The following is a 23,708-nucleotide window of genomic DNA, read 5'->3' as shown; positions in this document are numbered from 1 at the left end:
TTGCTAGTTTGTGTGTGGCATTTTTCTCAACCAGCCATGTCTTTTCACCTAGCCCAGCCCATTGTGATTTAGAAAGTTTAGCAATGTAGCAAAAGAGGAAAAAACGGAGGCTAGAAAAGAAACGACAGGGCATAGGTTGACTTTGATCAGTGGTTTCCAAGCTAAATTCCACAGAAAGGTCAGTTGGGAGGGCCAACAAGAGAAGTGGGGGGCATCCAACTACCTCATCCAAATGCTGATTTTGAATTTGGAGGATCCTTAATCTAGTGCTTTTGGAAAACATGTGTCTTTGTTTACTAACCACTACCTATGTTAGAACACCTACATTCTATATTTTCTTTATCCTGTTTGATTTTTGTATTTTGTCAGAATGTGTTGATTCAATCTGCTGACAGGCTAGGTAGAGCTAGAGATGGTAAGGAATGAGGAAGTGCTTGTGTGTGGTGTGCGCCTATGTGTAGAAGGTGCACTGTGTTCGTTTTGAGTGTAGAATAGACCCAGATCAGTTATACCTGAGTAGGTAAAATAAAACACATCCTCCCACCCTGTGTGAGATGCCCATCTAATTGCATTTTGACTTCTGTAGTAAAGATATTTGCCTTGCCATCTTTAAATGTAGAACTTATTCCCTCTTTGTAGTTTATAAATTGATCTTTTTACTTTTGTGACCAAAACCAATATAAATACATTGTGTGAAATTCTGAAAGAACAAACAAGCTAAAAAAGAAATACTCCTCTAGCCTACACAAGGATAAGGCTGATAAGTAACAATAAAAACGAATATAATCGTCGGGATGAATTATTAAGTAACTTCCTCAAATTGTGTTAGAGTTGAGTTTATTATTTCCCTAGTAATATCTTTAAAGTGGAACTGAAACATTAAAAAAAACTCTCAAAGGTGTTACCTATAGATTAAGAGTTTAAACAGCATTTAACTAGCACGCACTGTTTTCCACTTTAGATTGTTGTATTTGGAACATAATATTTGCCTGGCTGAAATAATTCATATCAATGGTTTTCAAACTGTTTTTTACAGATTTCTTAGAATTGCTGTAGGGGCCAGCATGAGGGACAAAGAAAACAAAGCTGACAGGATTCCTAACTCCCTTGTTTCAACCCAGGCAACCTCACATTTATCTCTTTTGTACATCACAGTTCTGCTTAGGGTTTCAATTAAGAGGAATCCCAGTGCTAAAGAGAAAACAAAAAACTGAAAATCCCCAGCTTGGATCAAACTTTATTACAAAGGACTGACTCCTGGAGTTTCTTCCATACAGAACCTAAATTGTACATTTTCATAAACTAATTTTAGTATCAATATGTGAAACTAAATCTGTAAGTTAATAAATGTATATACTTTATAATGCTTACTGCTGAGGATACTAAACAAAATATGATGGTTCTTATTCTTAATATACTTTGGGGCAATTAAATATTATATACAGAGAATACAATGACAATCAGCATGTGAATGAAAGCATGCTAAATGGTAACCTAATTTGTGGGTTGCTTAGAGAGTGAGGATGCATAGGAAGGTGGTTCTTGAGATTTTTTTAATTAAAAATAATATGTTAAAAATTTTAATAACATTTCTCATGGGAATTTTTAAACTATAAGAGTAATACCTGTATGCTGTAACAAGTTCTGAGTTGAGTTAGCAAGAACAAATGGGAGCTGATTGTGTACAGGACATGGTAGTTGGTTGTTGGCTTCAAGCAGACATGGGGCACTCCATGTAGGAGTGAGATATATTGTGGCTTTCCAGGCCACATTAAGAAATCTGAAATTTAATCTGCAGATAGATACAAGGAAATATTGAAATGTGTGTTATTTAAATGACATAATCAGATTTGTGTCTTAGAACAGTGGTCCCCAAGCTTTTTGGCACCAGGAACTGGTTTCATGTCAGACCAGGAGTGGGGGATGGTTTGGGGTGGTCCAAGTGCATTGCATTTATTATGCACTTTATTTCTATTATTACATTGTAATATATAATGAAATATTATATAACTCACCATAATGTAGAATCAGTGGGAGCCCTCAGCTTGTTTTCCTGCAACTAGACAGTACCATCAGGGGGTGATGGGGGACAGTGACAGATCATCAGGCATTAGATTCTCATAAGGAGTGCACAACCTAGATCCCTCGCATACGCAGTTCACAGTAGGGTTCATGCTCCTATGACCGTCTACTGCTGCCGCTGGTCTGACAGGAGGCAGAACCCAGGTGGTAATGCAAGTGATGGGGAGCACCTGTAAATACAGATGAGGCTTCGATGGCTTACCTGCCACTCACCTCCTGCTGGGCAGCCCAGTTCCGTGTCCCAGGGGTTGGGGACCCCTGTCTTAGAAGATTATTCTGACAGCAATGTGCAGAGTGGATTATAAGGGGACAAGAATGTAAATGAGGAAACAAGTCAATCCCCTTACAAGGATCCAAGTGAGAAATGATGATGGCTTCAACCAAGTTAGCAATGGAGATGGGGAGGAATGGGGCAGATCCAAATGAGACAAAAAGAAATGTCAAAAGTCCCTAAGTGATTGAATGTGGGGACTGAAGGAGAGGGAAGGAACAAGGATGACTTCTGCATTCCGCCAATGCATCTGGATGCATGGCCAGTGTCATTCCTGACACGAAGATAAAAGAGCACAGATGTTTGGGATAGTGAATGAAGGTGGTTATATATGTTGTTCCATGAAAATGTGTGATCTGGATCTGAAAGTGTATAGGTTAAGAGCACAAGCCACTGTGTTCACATCTTTACCTACCATGTCCTAGCTATGTGGCCCTGGATCTCCAAGGCTATTTCTTCACCCATAAAATGGGAAAAATATTAACACCTACCTCTTAGGGTTGTTGTGAGGTACTTTAGAGTATAGCCCGCAGTGAAAATTTCATGCATGTTATCAAATATTGTTAATTTTTATTCTCCTCAGACCTCAGTTTCCTCATCTGTAAGCTCATGAAAGGGGAGGGGAATTGTGCTGGATTACATGACTGGGGTCATAGTTTACCCGTAAAGTTTTTCATTCTAGTATGTCTGCTCTCTGTTTACAAGTGTGTAAACAAACAGTTTTACTCAAAAATGTTCATCATTTCTAGGAACTTGCCACATCAGACTCAGATTCCCCAACAGCAGACTACAGGTGAGTGCTAAGAATAATAAATTAATGTTTATGAATGAATCTAATAGATTAAAAGATAATTATGGCACTATATAATTTATGAAGCTTTATCTTCACCAAATAAGGCAAAACACTTGTGTCATTCCTTAATCAGACTTAAAACCTCAGAATAATAGCTTAGATTATTACATAGATTGGCATCAGAATGATAAACACAGGGTAAATGATCTTAGAGCAAAAGCATCCATGGAGGTCCTGTCTAATTAAGGAAGACTGAATGAAACCCCTTTCCTTCAGTGAAGTTCCCTATTCTTCCCCTTGGTATGAAAGATTCTTAGCTTGGATGCATCCAGGATTTGTCTCAGTAAGTGAGCAGCTTGAAGTTTCAAGCTCTCTTACAAAAGGAAACCATTGTGACTAATCACTGAGGCTTCAGGGGGATAAATGAGAAATGGCTGGCCTGGTTTTAAAGCCGCTTTAAAAAGCTGTTATAACATGACCAATGACAACAAGATGGCGGACAATTCTCCTTGGATTATTCTATTTCCCTAAGACTTGCTTTCTTTATTTCTTTCAAGTGTCCCTAAAAATTTTCCACAGCCAATTATTTCATTCATCTCTATACTGAGTAGATAACTTATTCATGATTGTCTTCTAATTAGTGGTTGATTCCTAGTTCTAATTGCCAGGGAACCATTAATGCCTTTGTAGCTCTTTTGGAAAAGCAAGAGAAGTTTTAAAAATGTAAGTTGGGTGTGGAATTCTGAGTATGAATAGCGGCATTGTGGTAGGGAAACTATTAAGTAAGTCTCTTAAAAACTTCAGGCACATTCAGAAATGTGTTGGATGTTTTCATTCAGAAATTATCTTCTCTATTACTGCTTTCGTGAATTTAAGGAGATTTTCGTTTGACAACTTTTCAAAGATTTGAGGCAAGTATAATGAAATTGTTCATCAGATTTCAATTACAAGATGTTTATCAGAATTTTTCCCTACAATTTTGATTACTTGCTTTAATTAAATGCTAACATGTTTCAACAAGACTGTTCAATATATTGATGTGTTGGTGCTACTTTGTAAGCATTCAGGAGATTGATGAAGGAACAAACTTTGTTATAAAAATGAGTCACCTAAAGAGAGAAAAAAGATAAATGAATCCCTACTACCACTAATTTCACAGCTATTTTTTAAAAGGAAAATTTCTAAAAGAATACTTCTACGATAGAAATGATAGAACTTCTTCGTTATTAACCTTGTAGCTTCCATCTCGCCTAAGATTTCTATCTTCTGATTCTTAATTATTTCAGGCATGGAGTGAGTAGGAAGCAGGCAATTTCTAGAAAAACAGTAAATATTTATTTTGAGTATTTAAAAATCCAGATTTTACTTACTTACCCACTAGGGGAATTAGGAAACTTGAGTAGATGATATTAGGGCAATTTGTTTAGTAGTCACATAGATTTTTTAGCAAGTACTCTTGTTAACTTGCTACATTTTAGTAATACAGAGCACTTCCAAATACAAGGACAATTTATGCCTAAACAAATATAAGAGCCAAAGAGTTTTCCTAGGGGATTTTAAGGTTGTTTAACCTAATTTATAAAATTATTTTTCTGAAACAGATTTTAGGGAGCAGGTATTTTGCTTGAGTCAAGAAAGCTTTGCTCTCCTTTTTAGTTAACACTAGAGCCTATTACCTTCTTGTTTTCTTACATTTTTCTGCAATTTGGATCATATTATAGACTAAAGTACAGTATCTCCTCTTGGTTGTTTTGTTGTTATTGTTTTATTTAGTGAGTCCCCAAAATATCTTAAGTGCCAAAGGGAGAGAGACCACCCTAGCATTTTTTTTTATAATTATGCAAGATTGGTGTGTTTGTGCCTCTGGTACATTTAAAACTAAATGGAGGCTGGGTGCGGTGGCTCACACCTGTAATCCCAGCACTTTGGGAGGCCAAGGCAGGCGGATCACCTGAGGTCAGGAGTTCAAGACCAGCCTGCCCGACATGGCGAAGCCCTGTCTCTACTAAAAAAATACAAAAATTAGCTGGGCATGGTGGCATACACCTGTAATCCCAGCTACTTGGGAGGCTGAGGCAGAAAAATCACTTGAACCTGGGAGGTGGAGGTTGCAGTGAGCCAAGATCACGCCATTGTACTCCAGCCTGGGCAACAGAGTGAGACTCTGAATCAAAAAAAGAAAAAAAAGAAAAAAGAAAACCTAAATGGAGGCATGCCTCCTGGAGAGAAGGGCTGATGGGCAGTTTACATTCCTTATTTCCATTCTGTTCATTTAAATGAAAAAGTTTATTTCTCAATTTCTAAATTCTTCTATCTGAAAATGCATGGATTTAGTGCTGTTTATATATTTTTGTGAGTACGGCAGCTTTTCTTTTCTTTTACCCTGATTATCCTAATACTGCATAGAGGCAGCTACATTTATGCATGATTATCATCAAACAGTAACTGGAGTTTTCCAAGTACCACAGAACATTATGCACATGTCAGTTTTCTTTATGAAGGTAATTTAGGCACAAGAGTTTGCGTCTTGGATACCAAGTAATTTTATTTGTAGCTACCTATATGGAATTTATCAGGGGAAAGTATATCTTGAAGTTGTTGTTTTTTTTTTTTTTTTTTTTTTTTTTCATTTAGTTCCTTGTTTTCTTTTAAATTCCTATCAAAGCTTTAAGAAATGAACTAGCTGCTGGTGTTGTGTTCCTGGACTTGAGCACTAGCTGGGATAATAGAGCAGTTAAAAGCTGACAATTGCACTAACTTTTGGACTAGGCCCAAACCATTAGGTTTGATGCCCCTTCAGGTTTTCTCATTTTCTCTGCCCTACCAGCCCACATGATATTTTTTTAAAAGCCACGATTAAAAGGTACAGTTATACATCCTGCAGTTAACCTCCATTCTTTTTGTTTATTGTGGGAGGAATTTTCAGACTGTACCTCTTGGGAAATACAAAATATTATAGCTTTGGTCCAAGAAGGAGAAGACTAATTTAGAATTTTTTCTTTTGTTTTCTGTTTTTTAAAAAAACCAAATACAGAGAAATAATGCAATGTAATTATTTTACATTGTATTAAGAAGATGGAAACTTTCTCCTTGCCATAATTTGCTTTGCTCAAAATCTAAAAGTATCCATGCCCTGACTAACTCCTGCCCATATTCATTCTTACACATTGCAGGTAAATGGTATCCCTGAAGAAAGAAAACTGACTGAAGCAATGAATTTATAATCAGACAATATAGCAGTTACATCACATTTCTTTTCTCTTCCAATAATGCATGAGCTTTTCTGGCATATGTTATGCATGTTGGCAGTATTAAGTGTATACCAAATAATACAACATAACTTTCATTTTACTAATGTATTTTTTTGTACTTAAAGCATTTTTGACAATTTGTAAAACATTGATGACTTTATATTTGTTACAATAAAAGTTGATCTTTAAAATAAATATTATTAATGAAGCCTAATGACTGGTGAAATTTACTTCAGTAAACTATTTGCTTCCTATTTAGTAGAAATCTTTTAATCGCTAGAAACAGGTTTATGTGTTCATTCTCATTCCACAAGACTTTAGTGCTTCCTATGAATATATAAAATGCCTGTGCCTCCGTGTTCCAGTTGAGCAACCCATTTAAATAATACTTTAACTCTTGTGGCCTGTAAATCCTGTTGTTTTATATACCACTTGGGAGTGTTTTCGAATAAACCTAGTTTTATGGATTGTGAAACTGATGACACCCAATTCATGCAGGGCAGCCCACGCTGCGTACTTACTTGACTTCATAATCAGATATTTGGTGGGTTTTTTTTTCTACAGCTACACCTACTGGAATGGGAGGACATTTGGATCTAGAAGCAAGACAGGAGCTGTTACACAAAAAGAGAATAGTTACTGCTAATGTGACATCAGTTAGCTCCAAAACCCCAGAGTACCTTGCAGTAACTCTTTTATGTTCAAGGCTCTCATGCATCTTGGATACTACTGGATCAGTGTGGCTATCATGTCACCTGGCAGGACAGCTTTCCTTGCAGACTGGACTAGCTGGAAAACCTTCTCTTAATCTACTTTGGGCAAATTTTTGTGTCACCTATTAGGTGCCCAGAGGTCACAAAAATTCCAAAATCCAGAAAGATTCCCTGTTAATGTTAGGTACCGTAACTTGTTTTCCACTTAGGGAGAATACTCTGTCATATCATTGACATTAGAACCTCCCTCTTCTTTCTAGGACAGAGGATGTAGGTTCTCTTATTTCTTAAAGATGTATCTCTAATTTCTTCCTAAGTTAACTAGGGCATTGCCACTTGCTGTTCTCCAGGAGTAATCAGCTTGAGATTGTAAATGTATTGCATCAGTGTCATGGCCTAGGAGGAATGCAATGTTGTCAAGGCTCCAGAGGACCAGATTTTGGCACAGACACAGAGTAAACAAACTGTTGCTCTTACCAGGTGAAATCAAACTGCTCCTAATAGTCCAAGTGAGCAGGAATAAAGTAATGCACAATCGACATATCATGGACAACAGATGAGAAATCAGGAACTTTATTCATCTATTCTAGTAAAGAAGCCATTTGGAGATTGCAAAGTGCAGTTGGAATTAGCATTGGTTTTTGCACTGACCATATTGAGGTATTGAATGGGGAGAGAAATCATTGGCCAGCATCTTACAAATCTTTAATAATAGCTTTAATCGCTGCAGTTCCCCGTGAAAAAGTGATCTTGTTTCTGACTTAACATTTTGATGGGGAAAAGAGTCCAGATAATTTCCCCTTGGTTGATGCTACCCTAATAGTCCTTAAGGACTATTAAGGGTTTTTTTGTTTTGTTTTGTTTTGTTTTAACAAAGTGAGGATTCTGCCACATGCTGAGGACTGCTATCCCAACTGTACTCTCCTAGTGGGCAAATGACTATATGGTAAGTTTTGGGTCCTGATGGTAAACTTAAAACACCTTTTCAGTTAGCCAGCATAATCCCTTGATCTAAAATACTGACTGTAGTGGTTCTGTACATTTTCAGCAATTCCAGTAAACTCAGATTTAGATTCCAAATATCCCCTAAAAGTTTGTGGCTTTTCCATCCTCCAGGGTATATTTACCCATACACATGACAGCCTCTCTTTGAGGAAGGTCTAGGTTCAATTTCCACATGGTGTGTACCTAAGGTTACAAGATTTCCCAGGTTCCAGGTTCCACAGGTTCCATGTCTATAAATTGGTTCTTTAGAATTGACTAAGGGACCATGATTCTTTTAAACATTGACCTTAGTAAGGCCTTCTCCCACCAAGCTTGTGTGTTTATTTCTATCCCCCTTCAGTACTTACTTGGAGGCTACATCAGTAATGGTACTGGGCAGTGAGCAACAAGGAATTGTTGATCTTTAGACAGAAGTGCCAATGGCAGTAATGAAATTGAAAGCCCCTAAACATTTATTTAGGTCAAAGTATGCATTAAAAATTCACATCTGTAAGTCTACACTGATGACAGAAAAGAGCACTAAGTAAAGCTATTAAGGCTAAATTTGAGGCTAAGAGAATACTTAGAAGAAAATTAAATAGAAAATAACATCAAGGTCAGTGCCTCCAAGTACATACATAGCAAATAAGTGAGGTGAGTGACACTTGGGATCAATGGTCCAAGATCTGAGCTGTTCTCATATCTTGACCATACCAATTAAGGATGAATAAAAGCCTTTAAGCAAGCCATCCAAAAATAGGGCAGCCTCAAAAATTTGCATTTCAGAATTTCCTATGAAACACCTCTACCATTTGCTTCCTTACTGAATGCCTAATATGTTACTATAAGTCAGAGAGTGTTCTAAGGATGCAATGGTGAGCCAAATTAGACATAGGCTTGTTCTCAAGGAGTTTACATTCTACTGGAAAAGACAGATATTAAGTCGTCATACAAATAAATGTCAACCTGTAATAGTGATAAATGCTATAAGGGAAAGTAATTGATGCTATAAAAGTTTATCACAGCAGGACTTCACCTAGTCAGCAAGGTCAGAGAAGCTTCCCTAAAGTTTGGTTGATACCAAAAGAATGAGTAGTAAATGCTAAGATGAAAAGAAACTATCAACAGAGTAAACAGACAACCTACAGAATGGGAGAAAATTTTTGCAATCTATACATCTGACAAAGGTCTAATATCCAGCATCTATAAGGAACTTAAATTTACTAGGGAAAAAACATTAAAAAGTGGGCAAAGGACATGAATAGACAATTGTCGAAAGATGACATACATGTTGCCAAAAAACATATGAAAAAAAGCTGGCCAGGTGCAGTGGCTCACGCCTGTAATTGCAGCACTTTGGGAGGCCGAGGCGGGCAGATCACTTGAGGGGTAGTAAGGAGTTCAAGACCAGCCTGGCCGACATGGTAAAACCCCATCTCTACTAAAAATACAAAAATTAGCCGGCCATGGTGGCGGGCACCTGTAATCCAAGCTACTTGGAAGGCTGAGGCAAGAGAATCACTTAAACTCTGGAGATGGAAGTTGCAGTGAGCTGAGATCGTGCCACTGCACTTCAGTCTGGGCGACAGAGTGAGAAAAGCTCAACATCGCTGATCATTAGAGAAATGCAAATCAAAACCATAATGAGATACCATCTCACACCAGTCAGAATGGCTATTATTAAAAAAAAAGTCAAAAAATAACAGATGCTGGCAAGGTTGTGGAGAAATAGGAATGCTTTTACACTGTTGGTGGGAGTGTAAATTAGTTCAACCATTGTGGAAGACACTGTGGTGGTTCCTCAAAGACCTGGAGACAGAAATACCATTCAACCCAGCAATCCCATTGCTGGGTATATACGCAAAGGAGTATAAATTATTCTATTATAAAGATACATGCACATGTATGTTCACTGCAGCACTATTCACAACAGCAGAGAGGTAGAATCAACCTAAATGCCCATCAATGACAGACTGCATAAAGAAAATGTGGTACATATACACCATGGACTACTATGCAGCCATAAAAAGGAATGAGATCATATCCTTTGCAGGGACATGGATGGGGCTGGAGGCCATTATCCTTAGCAAACTAATGTAGAAACAGAAAACAAAATGCCACATGTTCTCATAAGTGAGAGCTAAATAATGAGAACACACGGACACATGGGGGGTAACAACACACACAGGGACCTGTTGGAGGGCAGGAGATGGGAGGACAGAGCGGATCAGGAAGAATATCTAGTAGGTGCTGGGCTTAATACCTGGGTGATGGGATGATCTGTGCAGCAAACCATATGGCACACGTTTACCTATGAAGAAACCTGCACATCCTGCACATGTAACCCTGAGCTTAAAACAAAAGTTGGAAATGAAATGAAAAAAATGTCATTTGATGTCAATTGAAAGAATGAGAATGGAAGTTTGCCTGACAACTAGTGTTGGACAGTGTATTAAAACTGGCATTGATATACAGCCAGTGAGATTTTTAGTTGGTACCACTTTCCTGGGAAGAGACTTGACGATATGTTCTAAGAGCCTTTAAGCTTGATTTCATATGCACCAAGCAATTTCTAATTTAAGTTTGGATTCTCATGTTTATCTTTTGTGGAGACACAGCACTGGTCATGGCACTAGGAGAGTGATATTTTTCACTATATATTTAAAAATTGGCCTTTGAGTCTATGTGTCTAATGTGAGTCTACCCCTAAATGGTAGCTTTCCTTATGGGATTCTGGCAAAATCAGGCTCCTGATCCTGTAATACCAAAAGCCAGCCCATGGACTATGGTTAATTGAAGGAGTAAGTGTTCCCTGGAGAGGGCTCTTGACAATGATGCAATTGGTATCCTTTGCAACACCTTGGCTGACTACTCCCTGTTAATTCAAACTGCAACAGAAAATATAGTTTATTTGAAAAGAAACTAAGAGAATGATATGTTTCAGTGCTGGTATGCGAAGAAGTATTCCAAGTATGAGCAAAAGGGTAGGGCAGGAGTAAACACTATGTGCATTGTGAAATAATTGGTGGCTTTGCAGCCTAAGATGAGTAGTCTCAGGTGACAAGTGACTCAAGAGTTCTAAGGCCATCTGTTGGAACAAAGGTGATTTTGGAAAAACAAATCTAACTGAACTTGTGATGGTGCTAAGATTAGGAAAGTTATATCCTGACTTTATTTGCAATGTTATAATTTTTTGTAAGGAAGAAAGTATTCATATCTTACTTGAGTAATTAGAAAATCTTCAATAAAAATTTAGGGAAATGTCAAAGAAAGAAAATGCTAAGATGATGAAGAATAAGAAAAAATATTTGAGGCAGATAGAAGAGCATTATTTAAGCCCTTTTGGAAGAAGAGAGCCTAGTGAGTCTAGAGTTCCATTAGAAAGTCCAGTGTAGCCGCAGTAACGAAGACTAAGCATGAGATGGTGAAGTATAGGGGAAGGTGAGACCCAAGGTAGGCCAAAACCATGCATGAACTTAAAGGAGAAAAATAAAGTCTGAAGGATGTTAAGAATGAAAAATAGGATGTGGTCATATTTGACCTTTTTATACATACAAATAATCCAACAATAATATAGAGAGCAGATACAGCAGTTGGGCAGAATGGGTGTGGTTATACCAGTCTGAAATCTGTTGTAGATATAATTGGAGAAATGGTAGCTTTGACTCGGATAGTGGTGGGAGATTCAAGAGCTATTTAGGAGGTAAAAAGGCAGCAGTTGTTGTTACATTGATACTTTGGAAATAGTGTTGAGGAACAGAGAGGAGCCAATTCTGACGTGTGGGTTCTTCTTGGTCAAATGGTGGCAATATCCATTGTGATAGACAATAGTGGATGAGAATCAGGATTGAGGAAATAATATGAGCTTAGTTTTATGCAAAGTGAACTTGAGGTACCTCTGAGAAAACCAAAATTAGTAGGCAATTGAATATATGAATTTGAAACTCAGAGTAGAGGTTCGGACTGGTGCTATGATTGGTAAGTCATCTGGATATGGGTTTTCACTGAAACCACAGGATCTGATGAGAAAACTGGTGCTCATTTTGTCATCTGAACATTCATGCAGCAGCTAAAGTGTGTTGCAATTATTTCTCCAATAGCAAAAAAGATAAGGTACATGAAGTTGGATATTTGCCAGAATCTAACGATCAGGGAAAGTCTGAGATGGTATTTTATTGACATTTCACAAAATTAAAATACAACATTACTTATTATTTTTGTACAAATTTTATTACTTTCTTAATAAATCTTACATTTTTAAAGGTTGTTCATTTGCTCCAAGGATTTCTGTGATCAGATGATCTCACTTTGCAGTCAATTAATAGGGTGCAGTACATTTTAGGCAGTTTATCATGTAGTTTTCATATTATGTTTAATTTTTATGTGATTAAGATTCTTATTACCTTAATTTGGGAGTCCATGCATGTGCCTAAAGCAAATTAAATGTTAGGACAATGAAGAAAGATTGAGATAAACTGGCCTAGTAGAATAACATACCCCCTTTCCTTTTTTTTTTTTTTTTAACATTTAAAAATGTTATTGGATTGAGTATCAGGGCCCTTTCATTCATTCATTGAGTGAATACTGACTTAGGACCTTTTGTGTTCTAGGCATTGAACTATGCACTGGTGAATAAAACATAGTGTATTATGGAAGATGAACGAAGTCTAGTACACTATCTGGTACTAGTTGGTGCTAAGTAAATATTTGCTGACAGAATTAACCTAATGTCTAATATAAAAGTTATGAAGGTTAAAAAAAAGTGTTGTAATAGAGAATGAGGAAAGGAAGCTACCTGGATTAAATGATCAGAATAGGTCTATCTAAAGAGAAAATATTTAAGACATAATTTGAAGACTAATCATGTGCCACTCATGCTTAGCATTCTGGTCAGAGGAAACAGCATGGGCACAGACCCAAAGGCAATGTAATGAAAACAGGTGGTTGTGGTTTCTGCCCAGTATCAACTTACCCTTCTTCTAGCAACTTTACATTTTTTCTCTACACAAACATTTCTGCTCTAATTTCCAGCCAGGTACTTCCATTTAAGGTGACTCCACACCTTGCACCAGATCTCAGGTCTGGCTAATCAGAACACTGCATCTCTCAGGTCAGGGTTTAGACCTCTGACTCAGTAGGACCTGTGAGATATAATTTAATTTTACTGAGACTGGCAAATGGGTGGGGGGCTCTTATCCAATATACTTGAATTTGGGGTGAAAAGAAGGCCAACAGAAAAAAAGTGGAGGACCAACAGAATGGTCAGAAACCAATTATTTATATACTACAGGCAGTTGGGCTAGGTAACACTTGACTCTCAAGAACATGAAGGATCTCTGTGTTGTTGGAACATATTGATGAGGCGGAAGTGGGATTAAAGATGATTCTGGAGATGTAAACGGAGTCCTATTAGTCTTATAGACTTTGATTGTGGAGTTTGGATTTTATTCTAAAAACATTGGAAATAAAGCATTTGAAGTAGAAAAATAACATGCAATTTACATTTTTAAATTACTCTGGGTTTGTAAAGATGGTAAAGACAGAAAACTCTCTTCTCAACAAATAAGAAAACTGGTAAAAATTGTCAGCATTAAAAAATGTAAAACTCTAGAAGTTAACCAAACTTTGCTACACTTTTAGCAATCCAGGGTGGGTTTATTCAGGAAAAACAGTAGAATCTTGGTAAGAACGGCAAGCTTCATGGCACTTTACCTGGCCCTATTCTCATCTTTCCCTCTCTAGCACCACAGTAGCTTTGAAAACATTCTGCAATCATGGTGAAAACCAGCTGTTTGGTAGCTCCCAAAAGAGACAGAACAAAGGTAGAGTTCCTTCTAAGCCTCTAATGAAGAGAATTGTCATTTTACCTGTCTGGTAGTTCCCTTGATGACCCACTTGCAAAGTTGTCTTTATTTGACCTGACTCAGAGCTCTCCCAGTATAAAAACATTTTCCCTGGGGTATTTTTGAAAACACAGGCAATTTATAAACTTTCCAGCTGCCTAAAATTGTGGATAACAACTGGGACAAACAATTGATTAACCAAAGAACTTACCAGGAAAAGCTTAGGGAATGAGATTTCCATAGAGGCTTTGAAAAGTTTCATTATCTTTTTGGAATCTACACATGAATGTGTAGGGCTGTGTGACTGCTCAGGAAAGACCTAAGAAGGCCCTATGCTCTCACCTTGGGATAATCCTGAGTCTCTGTGCAATCAGACAGTGAATGCTAACACAGAGCTATCAACTGCCTGTCTCAGTTTTTAAAGCATTCCCCAACATTCACACAGAACTCCTTCGCAAAGGCATGTAAGAAAATATCTGTTTAATTATTAGCTGACCACTAAGATAACTAAGCAGAGACTTCAGTGGCTACACATGACAAAGAATATGGACTTTAAAGGATTAGTTTACAAAAGTCACAAAACAACGCTTTGGGGAGCAGAAGTGGGGAGGATAATCTGATTTCCAGGACCACCATATTATTTAAAAGATCCAGTTTTCAAAAACACACAAAACCACATATAAAGGTGCAAAGAATCAAGAAAGCATGGTCCATACATAGGAAATAAATCAATGAATAGAAACTGCCCAGGAAACATAGAAGTTGGACCTACTAGGCAAGTACTTTAAATCAGTTATTTCAAATATATCTAGAGAACTAAAAGAAACTGTGTCTAAAGAACTAAATGCAAGTATGAGACTAATATCCCAACAAATAGAGAATATCAATAAAAAGATATAAATTATAAGAAACAGAAATTCTGAAATAAACAGGAAAATAACTGAGATGAAAACTTCACTACATGGGCTGTATTGGGAATTTTCAATACCATACTCAGGTTCAATGATTCAGTAGAAAGACTCACAGAACTCAGACACTGCCATATTCATGGTTACAGTTTATTACAGCAAAAGGATATATCACAGTTGACAGAGGGAGGAGTTACATGGATTAAGTCCAGGAGAAATCAAGTTCAAACTTCCAAGTAACCCTTCCCAGTGGAGTCACATAGGGATGTCCTTAATTGTTCCAGGAGGAATGTGTGACTACACATGTGAAGTGTTGCTAGGAAAGCTCACCGAAGCCTTGGTATCAAGAGTTTTTGTTGGGGGTCAGTCACATAGGCATGCAGTGCCCATATGAATGACCTCAGCTACTCAGACTCCATCCAGTCTTCACCACAGAGCAAAACCAGGCATTCATCATAAATCACTTTTCTAGGATAAACTTATCCAGTCAAACTGGTACAGTGTAGCCCAAGGGCTTAATCATACAAAAACAGGTGTTTACAATAAATACCATAAATACAGCATGGTTCAGGGCTTCGGGCATACAGAAACTCATATGAGGAAGAATATTCCAAGGGCTCAGAGGCTACCTTCCAGGGGCCAGCCAATGGCCAGGCCTGAAGATAAACATTTCTTTGAAATGTGTAAGATTTGAGCAACCCAATCCTCCTGCCCAAAGATTTAACAGCAGATTTGAGCAGGCAGCAGAAAGAATCAGCAAACTTGAATATGGGACAACTGAGGTTATCCAGTCTGAGGAATAAAACGAAAAAAGAATGAAAGTAAATAAATGGAGCTTGAGAGACCTGTCTTATTCCATAAGCATATCATCATATGCATAATGGGAATCTCAGAAGGAGAAGAGAGAGAGAGCAAGAGACAGACAGGAAGAATACATCAAGAAACAATGGCCAAAACTTCCAAAACTTTTATGAAAAACATTACGCATTCAAGAGCTCAATGACCTCCAAGTAGGACAAACTCAGAGATCCACACTTAGACACATCATGATCAAACTATTGAAAGACAAAGACAAAGAAAGCCTCTTGAAAGCAGCAAGAAAAATGTAATTCAATACGTGCAAGGGCTCCTCAACAAGATTAACAGTGGATTTCTCATCAGAAACCATGTAGGCAAGAAGGCAGTGGGATGACATTTTCAAAGTCCTTGGGAGAAAAAATCATCAACCAAAGATTTTATATCCAGCAAACTTATTTTGAAAAACTGAAGAAGAATTTAAGACATTCCCAGATAAACACAAACTAAAGAAATGCTAGAAAGCCTGCCCTACCAGAAATATTAAAGGGAGTCCTACTGACAGTATTAGACAGATCACTGACGCAGAAAATTAACAAGGATATTCAGGACATGAACTCAACACTGGACCAAATGGATCTGATGGACCTCTACAGAACTCTCCACCCAAAAAAACAGAGTATGCATTCTCATCACCACATGGCACATACTCTAAAATTGACCATATAATTGAACATACAACAATCCTCAGCAAATGCAAAACAATGGAAATCATACCAAACACTCTCTGGGACCAGAGCACAAAGAAACAGATGCTAAGACTAAGAGAATCACTCAAAACCATGCAATTACATGGAAATTAAACAACATGCTCCTTAATGACTTTTGGGTAAATAATGAAATTAAGGCAGAAATCAAGAAATTCTTTGAAAATAATTAAAACAAAGATAAAACATACCAGAATCTCTGAGACACAGCTAAGGCAGTGTTAAGAGGGAAATTCATAGCACTAAATACCCAGATCAAAAAGTTGGGAAGATCTTAAATTAACAACTTAACATGACAACTGAAAGAATTCAAGACACAAGAACAAATCAACCCCAAAGCTAGCAGAAGACAAGAAATAACCAAAATTAGAGCTGAACTGAAGGAGACTGAGACATGAAAAACCATTCAAAAGATCAACAAATCCAGGAATTGGGGTGTTTGTTTGTTTGTTTGTTTTGAGATGGAGTCTCCCTCTGTCACCCAGGCTGGAGTGCAGTGGCATGATTTTGGCTCACTGCAAGCTCTGCCTCCCGGGTTCATGCCATTCTCCTGCCTCAGCCTCCCAAGTAGCTGGGACTACAGGTGCCCGCTGCCATGCCCGGCTAATTTTTTGTATTTTTAGTAGAGGCGGGGTTTCACCGTGTTAGCCAGGATGGTCTTGATCTCCTGATCTCATGATCCGTCCGTCTCAGGCTTCCAAAGTCCTGGGATTACACGCATGAGCCACCACACCCGGCTCAGGAATTTTTTTTTTTTTTGAAAAAAATCATTAAGATAGATGGCTGCTAGCTGGACTAATAAAGGAGAAAAGAGAGAAGATCCAAATAAAACAATCAGAAATGATGATGGGAATGTTACCACTGACCACAAAGAAATAAAACTAACCATCAGAAACTACTACGAATACCTCTATGCACACAAACTAGAAAATGTAGAAGAGATGGATAAATTCTTGGACACATATATCCTCCCAAGACTGAATCAGAAAGAAATTGATTCCCTGAACAGACTAATAACAAGCTCCAAAACTGAATCAGTAATAAGTAGCCTACCAACCAAAAAAAGCCCTGGACCTGATGGATTCACAGCCAAATTCTACCAGATGTACAAAGAAGAGCTGGTATCATTCCTATAGAAATTATTCCAAAAAATTAAGGAGGTGGGACTCCTCCTCAACTCATTCTATGAGGCCAGCATAATCCTGATACCAAAACCTGTCAGAGACATAAAACAAAAAAGAAAACTGCAGGCCAATATCCTTGATGAATATTGATGCAAAAATCCTCAACAAAATACTTGCAAACTGAATCCAGCGCACATCAAAAAGCTAATCCACCACAATCAAGTAGGTTTCATCCTGGGATTCAAAGTTGGTTCAACATACACAAATCAATAAATGTGATTAATCACATAAACAAAAGTACAGACAAAAACCATATGGTTATCTCAATAGATGCAGAAAAGGCTTTCAATAAAATTCAACACCACTTCATATTAAAAACTCCCAATAAACTAGGTATTGAAGGAACATACTTCAAAATAATGAGAGCCATCTATGACAAACCCACAGCCAACATTATACTGAATGGGCAAAAGCTGAAAGCATTCTCCTTAAAAATCAGTACAAGACAAGAATTCCCTCTCTCATCACTCCTATTCAAGATAGTACTGGAAGTCCTAGCCAGAACAATCAAGCAAGAGAAAGAAATAAAGGGCATCCAAACAGGAAAAGTGGATATCAAACTATTCTGTTTGCAGACAAACATGATTCTACATCCTGAAAAACCCAATAGTCTCAGCCCAAAAGCTCCTTTCACTAATAAGCAACTACAGCAAAGTTTCAGGATACAAAATCAATGTACAAAAATCACTAGCATTTCTATACACCAACAACAGCCAAGCCAGGAGCCAAATCAGAAAGGCAATTCCATTCACAATTGCCAGAAAAAAGGATAAAATACCTAAGATACAGCTAATCAGGGAGGTGAAAGATCTCTACAATGAGAATTACAAAACACTGCTCAAAGAAATCAGAGAAGACACAAACAAATGGAAAAACTTCCCATGCTCATGGACGGGAAGGACCGATATTATTAAAATGGGCATACTGCCCAACGCAATTTACAGATTCAGTGCTATTCCCATCAAACTACCAATGACACTCTTCACAGAACTAGAAAAAAAACTATTTTAAAATTCATATGGAACCAAAAAAGAGCCTGAATAGCCAAAGCAGTCCTAAGCACCAAGAACAGTGCTGGAGGCACTGTGTTACCTGATGCCTCAAACTATACTACAGTGCTACAGTAACCAAAACAGCATGGTGCTGGTACAAAAACAGGAACACAGACCAATGGAACAGAATAGAGGATATAAGACTGCACCCCTATGACCATCTGATCTTCAACAAAGCTGACAAAACATGCAATGGGGAAAAGACTCCCTATTCAATAAATGGTGCTAGGATAACTGCCTAGCCATATGCAGAAGATTGGAATTTGTCTCCTTCCTTACACCATATAAAAAATCAACTCAAGATGGACTAAAGGCTTAAATATAAAACCCCAAATTATAAAAACCCTGAAAGACAACCTAGGCAATACCATCCTGGGCATAGGAATGGGCAAAGATTTCATGACAAAGACACCAGAAGCAATCAAAACAAAAGCAAAAAAATGACAAATGGGATCTAATTAAACTTAAAGAGCTTCTGCACAGCAAAAGAAACTATCAACAAAGTGAACAGACAACCTACAGAATGGGAGCAAATACTTGCAAACTATGCATCTAATAAAGGTCTAATATCCAGCATCAATAAGGAACTTAAACAAATTTACAAGAGAAAAACAAACAACCCCATTAAAAAGTGGGCAAAGGATATAAATTGACACTTTTCAAAAGAACACATACATGTGGCCAAGCATATGAAGAAAAGTTCAATATCACTGATCATTAGAGAAATGATGAATGTACAAAAATCACTAGCATTCCTATATACCACCACCAACCAAGCCAAGCCAACAAAAAAACATAATCCAACTATATGTTGTCTTCAAGAGACACAACTGAGATTCAGAGACTCAAATAAGTTGAAAGTGAAATTACAGAAGAAAAGATATTCCAGGAAAATGTTGACCAAAAGAAAGCTGGAATATGATATCAGAAAAATAAACTTTAAGGTAAAAATTATTAGCCAGGCATGGTGGCTCATGTCTGTAATCTCATTCACATTTAGGAAATCTAGAGAGTCCCAGTAAAATACTCCAGGAGAAGATCAACCCTGAGACACATAATCATCAGCTTCTCCAAGGTCAAAATGAAAGAAAAAATGTTAAGGGCATCCCATGGATTTCATGGATATTAACTTCATTAGACAAAAGCCACAATCCCAGATGTTTTTGAGAGAATTCCTTCTCTATTTTGGCCTCCTGCTGAGGGACACCACTTCTATGTTTCCTAGAAGCCCCCTAGTTTGGGAAGATCTGTAAGGCACAAACTTAATCTCTTGCAAATGTCATTTATACAACTTCATCTTCTGACCATTTTTTTTTTTTTTGAGGTTTTAGTAAAAGGTTGTACAGTCATACACTTGACCATCTTTTTGTGCCACACTTTTGGCAGCCATTTCTGATTCTAGGCTTATTTTGCCACACAGAGAAGCTGGAATTTTAAAAGTCATCCAGTCTTGGTTACTTTTTGTCTCCTTTCTCTCACTTTTTACTGTAAGCAAACCAGGCATATCTTCAATACCTTGCTTGGAAATATCTTTAACTACGTATCTAAGTTTACCATTTGTGAGTTCTGTTTCCAGGAAACAATTTCCCTAAGCTTTCTACCACTACATGACAAGAACCTCCCTTCATGTAGGTTCAAATACTGTTTCTTATTTTCTTTTGAGCCCTCACTGGCAGCACCCTTAAAATCCAAATTTCTACTAAAAATAAGTTCAAGGCAGTTTAGGTTTTCTGGATCAAGCTCCTCATAATTATTACATCCTGCAGGGGTGGGGGCAGTGCGGAACCTGTCAACTAAGAATTCTATGTCTGGCAAAACTGTCCTTCAAAAATGGGGGTGGGAAGTGTGTGACTGGACATGGTGGCTCATGCCTGTAATCCCAGTACTTTGGGAGGCTGAAGCAGGAGGATTGCTTGAGCCCAGGAGTTCAAGATCAGCCTGGGCTACATAGGGAGACCTTGTCTCTACAAAAATTAAACAATTAGCCAGGCATGGTGGCATGGGCCTGTGGTACCAGCTACTTGGGAGGCTGCAGTGGGAGGATCACTTAAGCCTGGGAGGTCAAGACTGCAGTGAGCTGTGATTGCACTATTGCTTTCCAGCCTTGGTGACACAGTGAGACTCTGTCTAAAAAGAAAAAAAAAAAAAAAAGGAGAATTTAAGACATTTCCAGATAAAGAAAAGCTGAAGCATTCTCTTACCAATAGACCTGTCTTACAAGAAATGCTCAAGGTAGTACTTCAGGGTAAAGGACTCTCAACAGTAACTCAAAGCCATATAAAGAAATAAAGATCTCCAGTAAAGTTAAATACATCAGCAAATAAAAAAGCTGATACTATTGTAATTTTGCTTTATATCTCCACTTTTAATTTTCTACATGATTTAAAAGACAACCATGGGCTGGACATGTGACTCATTCCTGTAATCCCAGCACTTTGGGAGGCCAAGGTGGTTGGATCACCTGAGGTCCAGAGTTGGAGATCAGCCTGGCCAACATGGTGAAACCCGGTCTCCACTAAAAATAGAAAAATTAACTGGGCATGGTGGTGCACGTCTGTAGTCCCAGCTACTCAGGAGGCTGGGGCAGGAGAATCACTTGAACCTGGGAGGTGGATGTTGCAGTGAGCCGAGATCATGCCACTGCACTCCAGCCTGGGTGACAGAGGGAGACTCCATCCCCCCGCCAAAAAAAGACAAATTTGTAAAACATAAATCTATATTATTGGGCACACGATGCATAAAAATGTAATTTGTGACATCAATAACATAAAAGGGGATACAGTTGTATAGAAGCAGAGATTTTGTATGCTATTGCAGTTATCAATTCAAATTTAGGATGTTAAATATGAATACCATAGTAATAACAAAGAAAATAATTATAGAAGGTACACAAAAAGAAGTGAGAAGGGAATCAAAACCTTTCACTACAGAAAAATCAACTAAACATGAAAAGAGGCAGTAGTGGAGGAAATAGGGGACAAAAAAATAATAAGACAGGCAGAAAATAATTAATAAAATGGCAGAAGTAAATCCTCGTATTTTAAATGGATTAAACTTTGCAATGAAAAGTCAGAGATTGGGCCAGGTGCGGTGGCTCACGCCTGTAATCCCAGCACTTTGGGAGGCTGAGGCAGGCGGATCACAAGGTCAGGAGATCAAGACCATCCTGTCTAACATGGTGAAACCCTGTCTCTACTAAAAATACAAAAAATTAGCTGGGCATGGTGGCGGGCACCTGTAGTCCCAGCTACTTGGGAGGCTGAGGCAAGAGAATAGCATGAACCCGGGAGGCAGAGCTTGCAGTGAGCCGAGATCACACCACTGCACTCCAGCCTGGGTGACAGAGTAAGACTCTGTCTCAAAAAAGAAAAAAAAAAAAGTCAGAGATTGGTAGAATGGAGTTTTTTTAATGATACAACGATATGCTGTCTACAAGAGACACACTTCATGCCTGGTGTGGTGGCTCACACCTGTAATCCTAGTACTTTGGGAGGCTGAGGTGGGAGGACCACTTGAGGCCCGGATTTTTAGACCAGTCTGGACAACATAGATAGACTCCTATCTATACAAAAAATTTAAAAATTGGCCAAGCACAGAGGTGCTAAACTACTTGGGAGGCTGAGACAGGAGGATTACTTGAGCCCAGGAGGTTGAGGCTGCAGTGAGCCAAAACTGCACCACTGCTCTCCAGCCTGGGTGACAGAGTGAGACCCTGTCTTTTTAAAAACAAAATATACTCAGATTTCTGAAATTTTTTTTTCACTTAGCAATATTCCTTGGGATTTTTCCCTATAAATACATAATCTCCCCATTCTTTGTTAGCACTACATGGTGTTATATAGCATGGTTACCACATCATCAATCCACTATTCCTTTATTGATGATGTTAGTTCCAATTACAATTATCAATTGTACAGTCAATTACAATTACAAGTAATACTGCAGTGAATGACCTTATTTATATACCCTTTTCCACCAATATGAGTATAAGTTACCAGATGTGGTATATGCATTTTTTAATATGTATATCTAGACTGCCCTCCATAGGGACCCTAGGAATTTATATTCCCACAGCAATGCATCTGTGCTGTCCTGCCATAACCTTCACTCAACACAGTGTCTTATCAACTTGTATCTTATCGTATATTTCAAAGGCATTAATATTTCCCTTTCTGTGAATAGTTTGCTTATACTGCTTCCCCTCTTAGTCCATTTGGGCTGCTATAATATATACCAGAGACTGGGTAGTTTATGAACAACAGAAATTTATTTCTCACAGTATGGAAGGCTAGGAAGTACAAGATCAAAGTGCTGGTAGAGTTGATGTCTGGAAAGGGTCCATTTCCTGATTCCTAGATAGCCATTTTCTGTGTCCACACATGGTGGAAGGGGCAAGGAAACTCTCTGGGGCTTCTTTTATAAGGGCAATAATCCCATTCATGAGGGTTTGCCCTCAGGACCTAATCATCTCCCAAAGGCCCAATCTCCAAATACCATCACATTGGTGATTAGGTTTCAACATATTAATTCATACACATTCAGACCATAGCACCCACTTCACTTATCTGTCGTTTGTTCTTTTATCATCAATGCCTAGGAAGTCTTTACATTTTGGGGAGATTAGCCTTTTGTCTATAATATAAGATACAAATGCCTTTTCTCAGTCTATCTTTGGATTTACTTGTTTTTGCTTTGCAAAAATTTTTTTCTAACATAGCAGATTTTGTCAATCTTTTATGACTTCTGGATTTTGAATAGTTTTTGAATAAAGAATACTTTATCATTCCAAAGTAATACAGGATATCATTTGTATTTTTTCTATACTTTTATGATGTATGGTAGGGATCCAACTTAATTTTGTTTAAAATGACAACCTTCTTGCCAGTATTATTTATTAAACAATCCATCTTTTTTGTAACTGACTTGAGTTGCTACCTATAGCATATACTAAATTCATAGACATGTATGGGACGATTTATGTACTTTTTACTCTGTATCACTAGCTATTCATGCATTAGCTCCACACAGTTTTAATTAGAGAGGCTTTCTAATATATTATTTCATA

At 37.8% G+C, this 23,708-nt stretch overlaps 2 protein-coding genes across 16 annotated transcripts in view; one reads left to right on the top strand and one right to left on the bottom strand.

Moving 5' to 3' along the window:
• SGCE (sarcoglycan epsilon) overlaps positions 1-6,855 on the top strand; it is a 71,154-nt gene extending 64,299 nt beyond the window's left edge. For 11 of the 12 annotated variants that reach the window (NM_001362809.2, NM_001301139.2, NM_001346717.2 and 8 more), the window contains 2 exons: positions 3,103-3,146; positions 6,320-6,855. In NM_001362809.2, coding sequence (NP_001349738.1) covers positions 3,103-3,146; positions 6,320-6,336 — 61 coding nt within the window. In that variant the 3' untranslated portion in view covers positions 6,337-6,855. Of the gene's footprint in view, positions 1-3,102; positions 3,147-4,022; positions 4,058-6,319 lie in introns of all 12 variants that reach the window. The other variant, NM_001099400.2, reaches the window with a different exon arrangement.
• Positions 1-23,708, bottom strand: part of CASD1 (CAS1 domain sialic acid O acetyltransferase 1) — a 124,364-nt gene that overhangs the window by 42,338 nt on the left and 58,318 nt on the right. The gene's annotated exons all lie outside the window — the stretch shown is intronic.

This window comes from Homo sapiens, chromosome 7, assembly GCF_000001405.40.
Source record: "Homo sapiens chromosome 7, GRCh38.p14 Primary Assembly".
Classification (NCBI taxonomy): Eukaryota; Metazoa; Chordata; class Mammalia; order Primates; family Hominidae; genus Homo; species Homo sapiens.
This window is presented reverse-complemented; position numbering and strand designations above follow the sequence as displayed.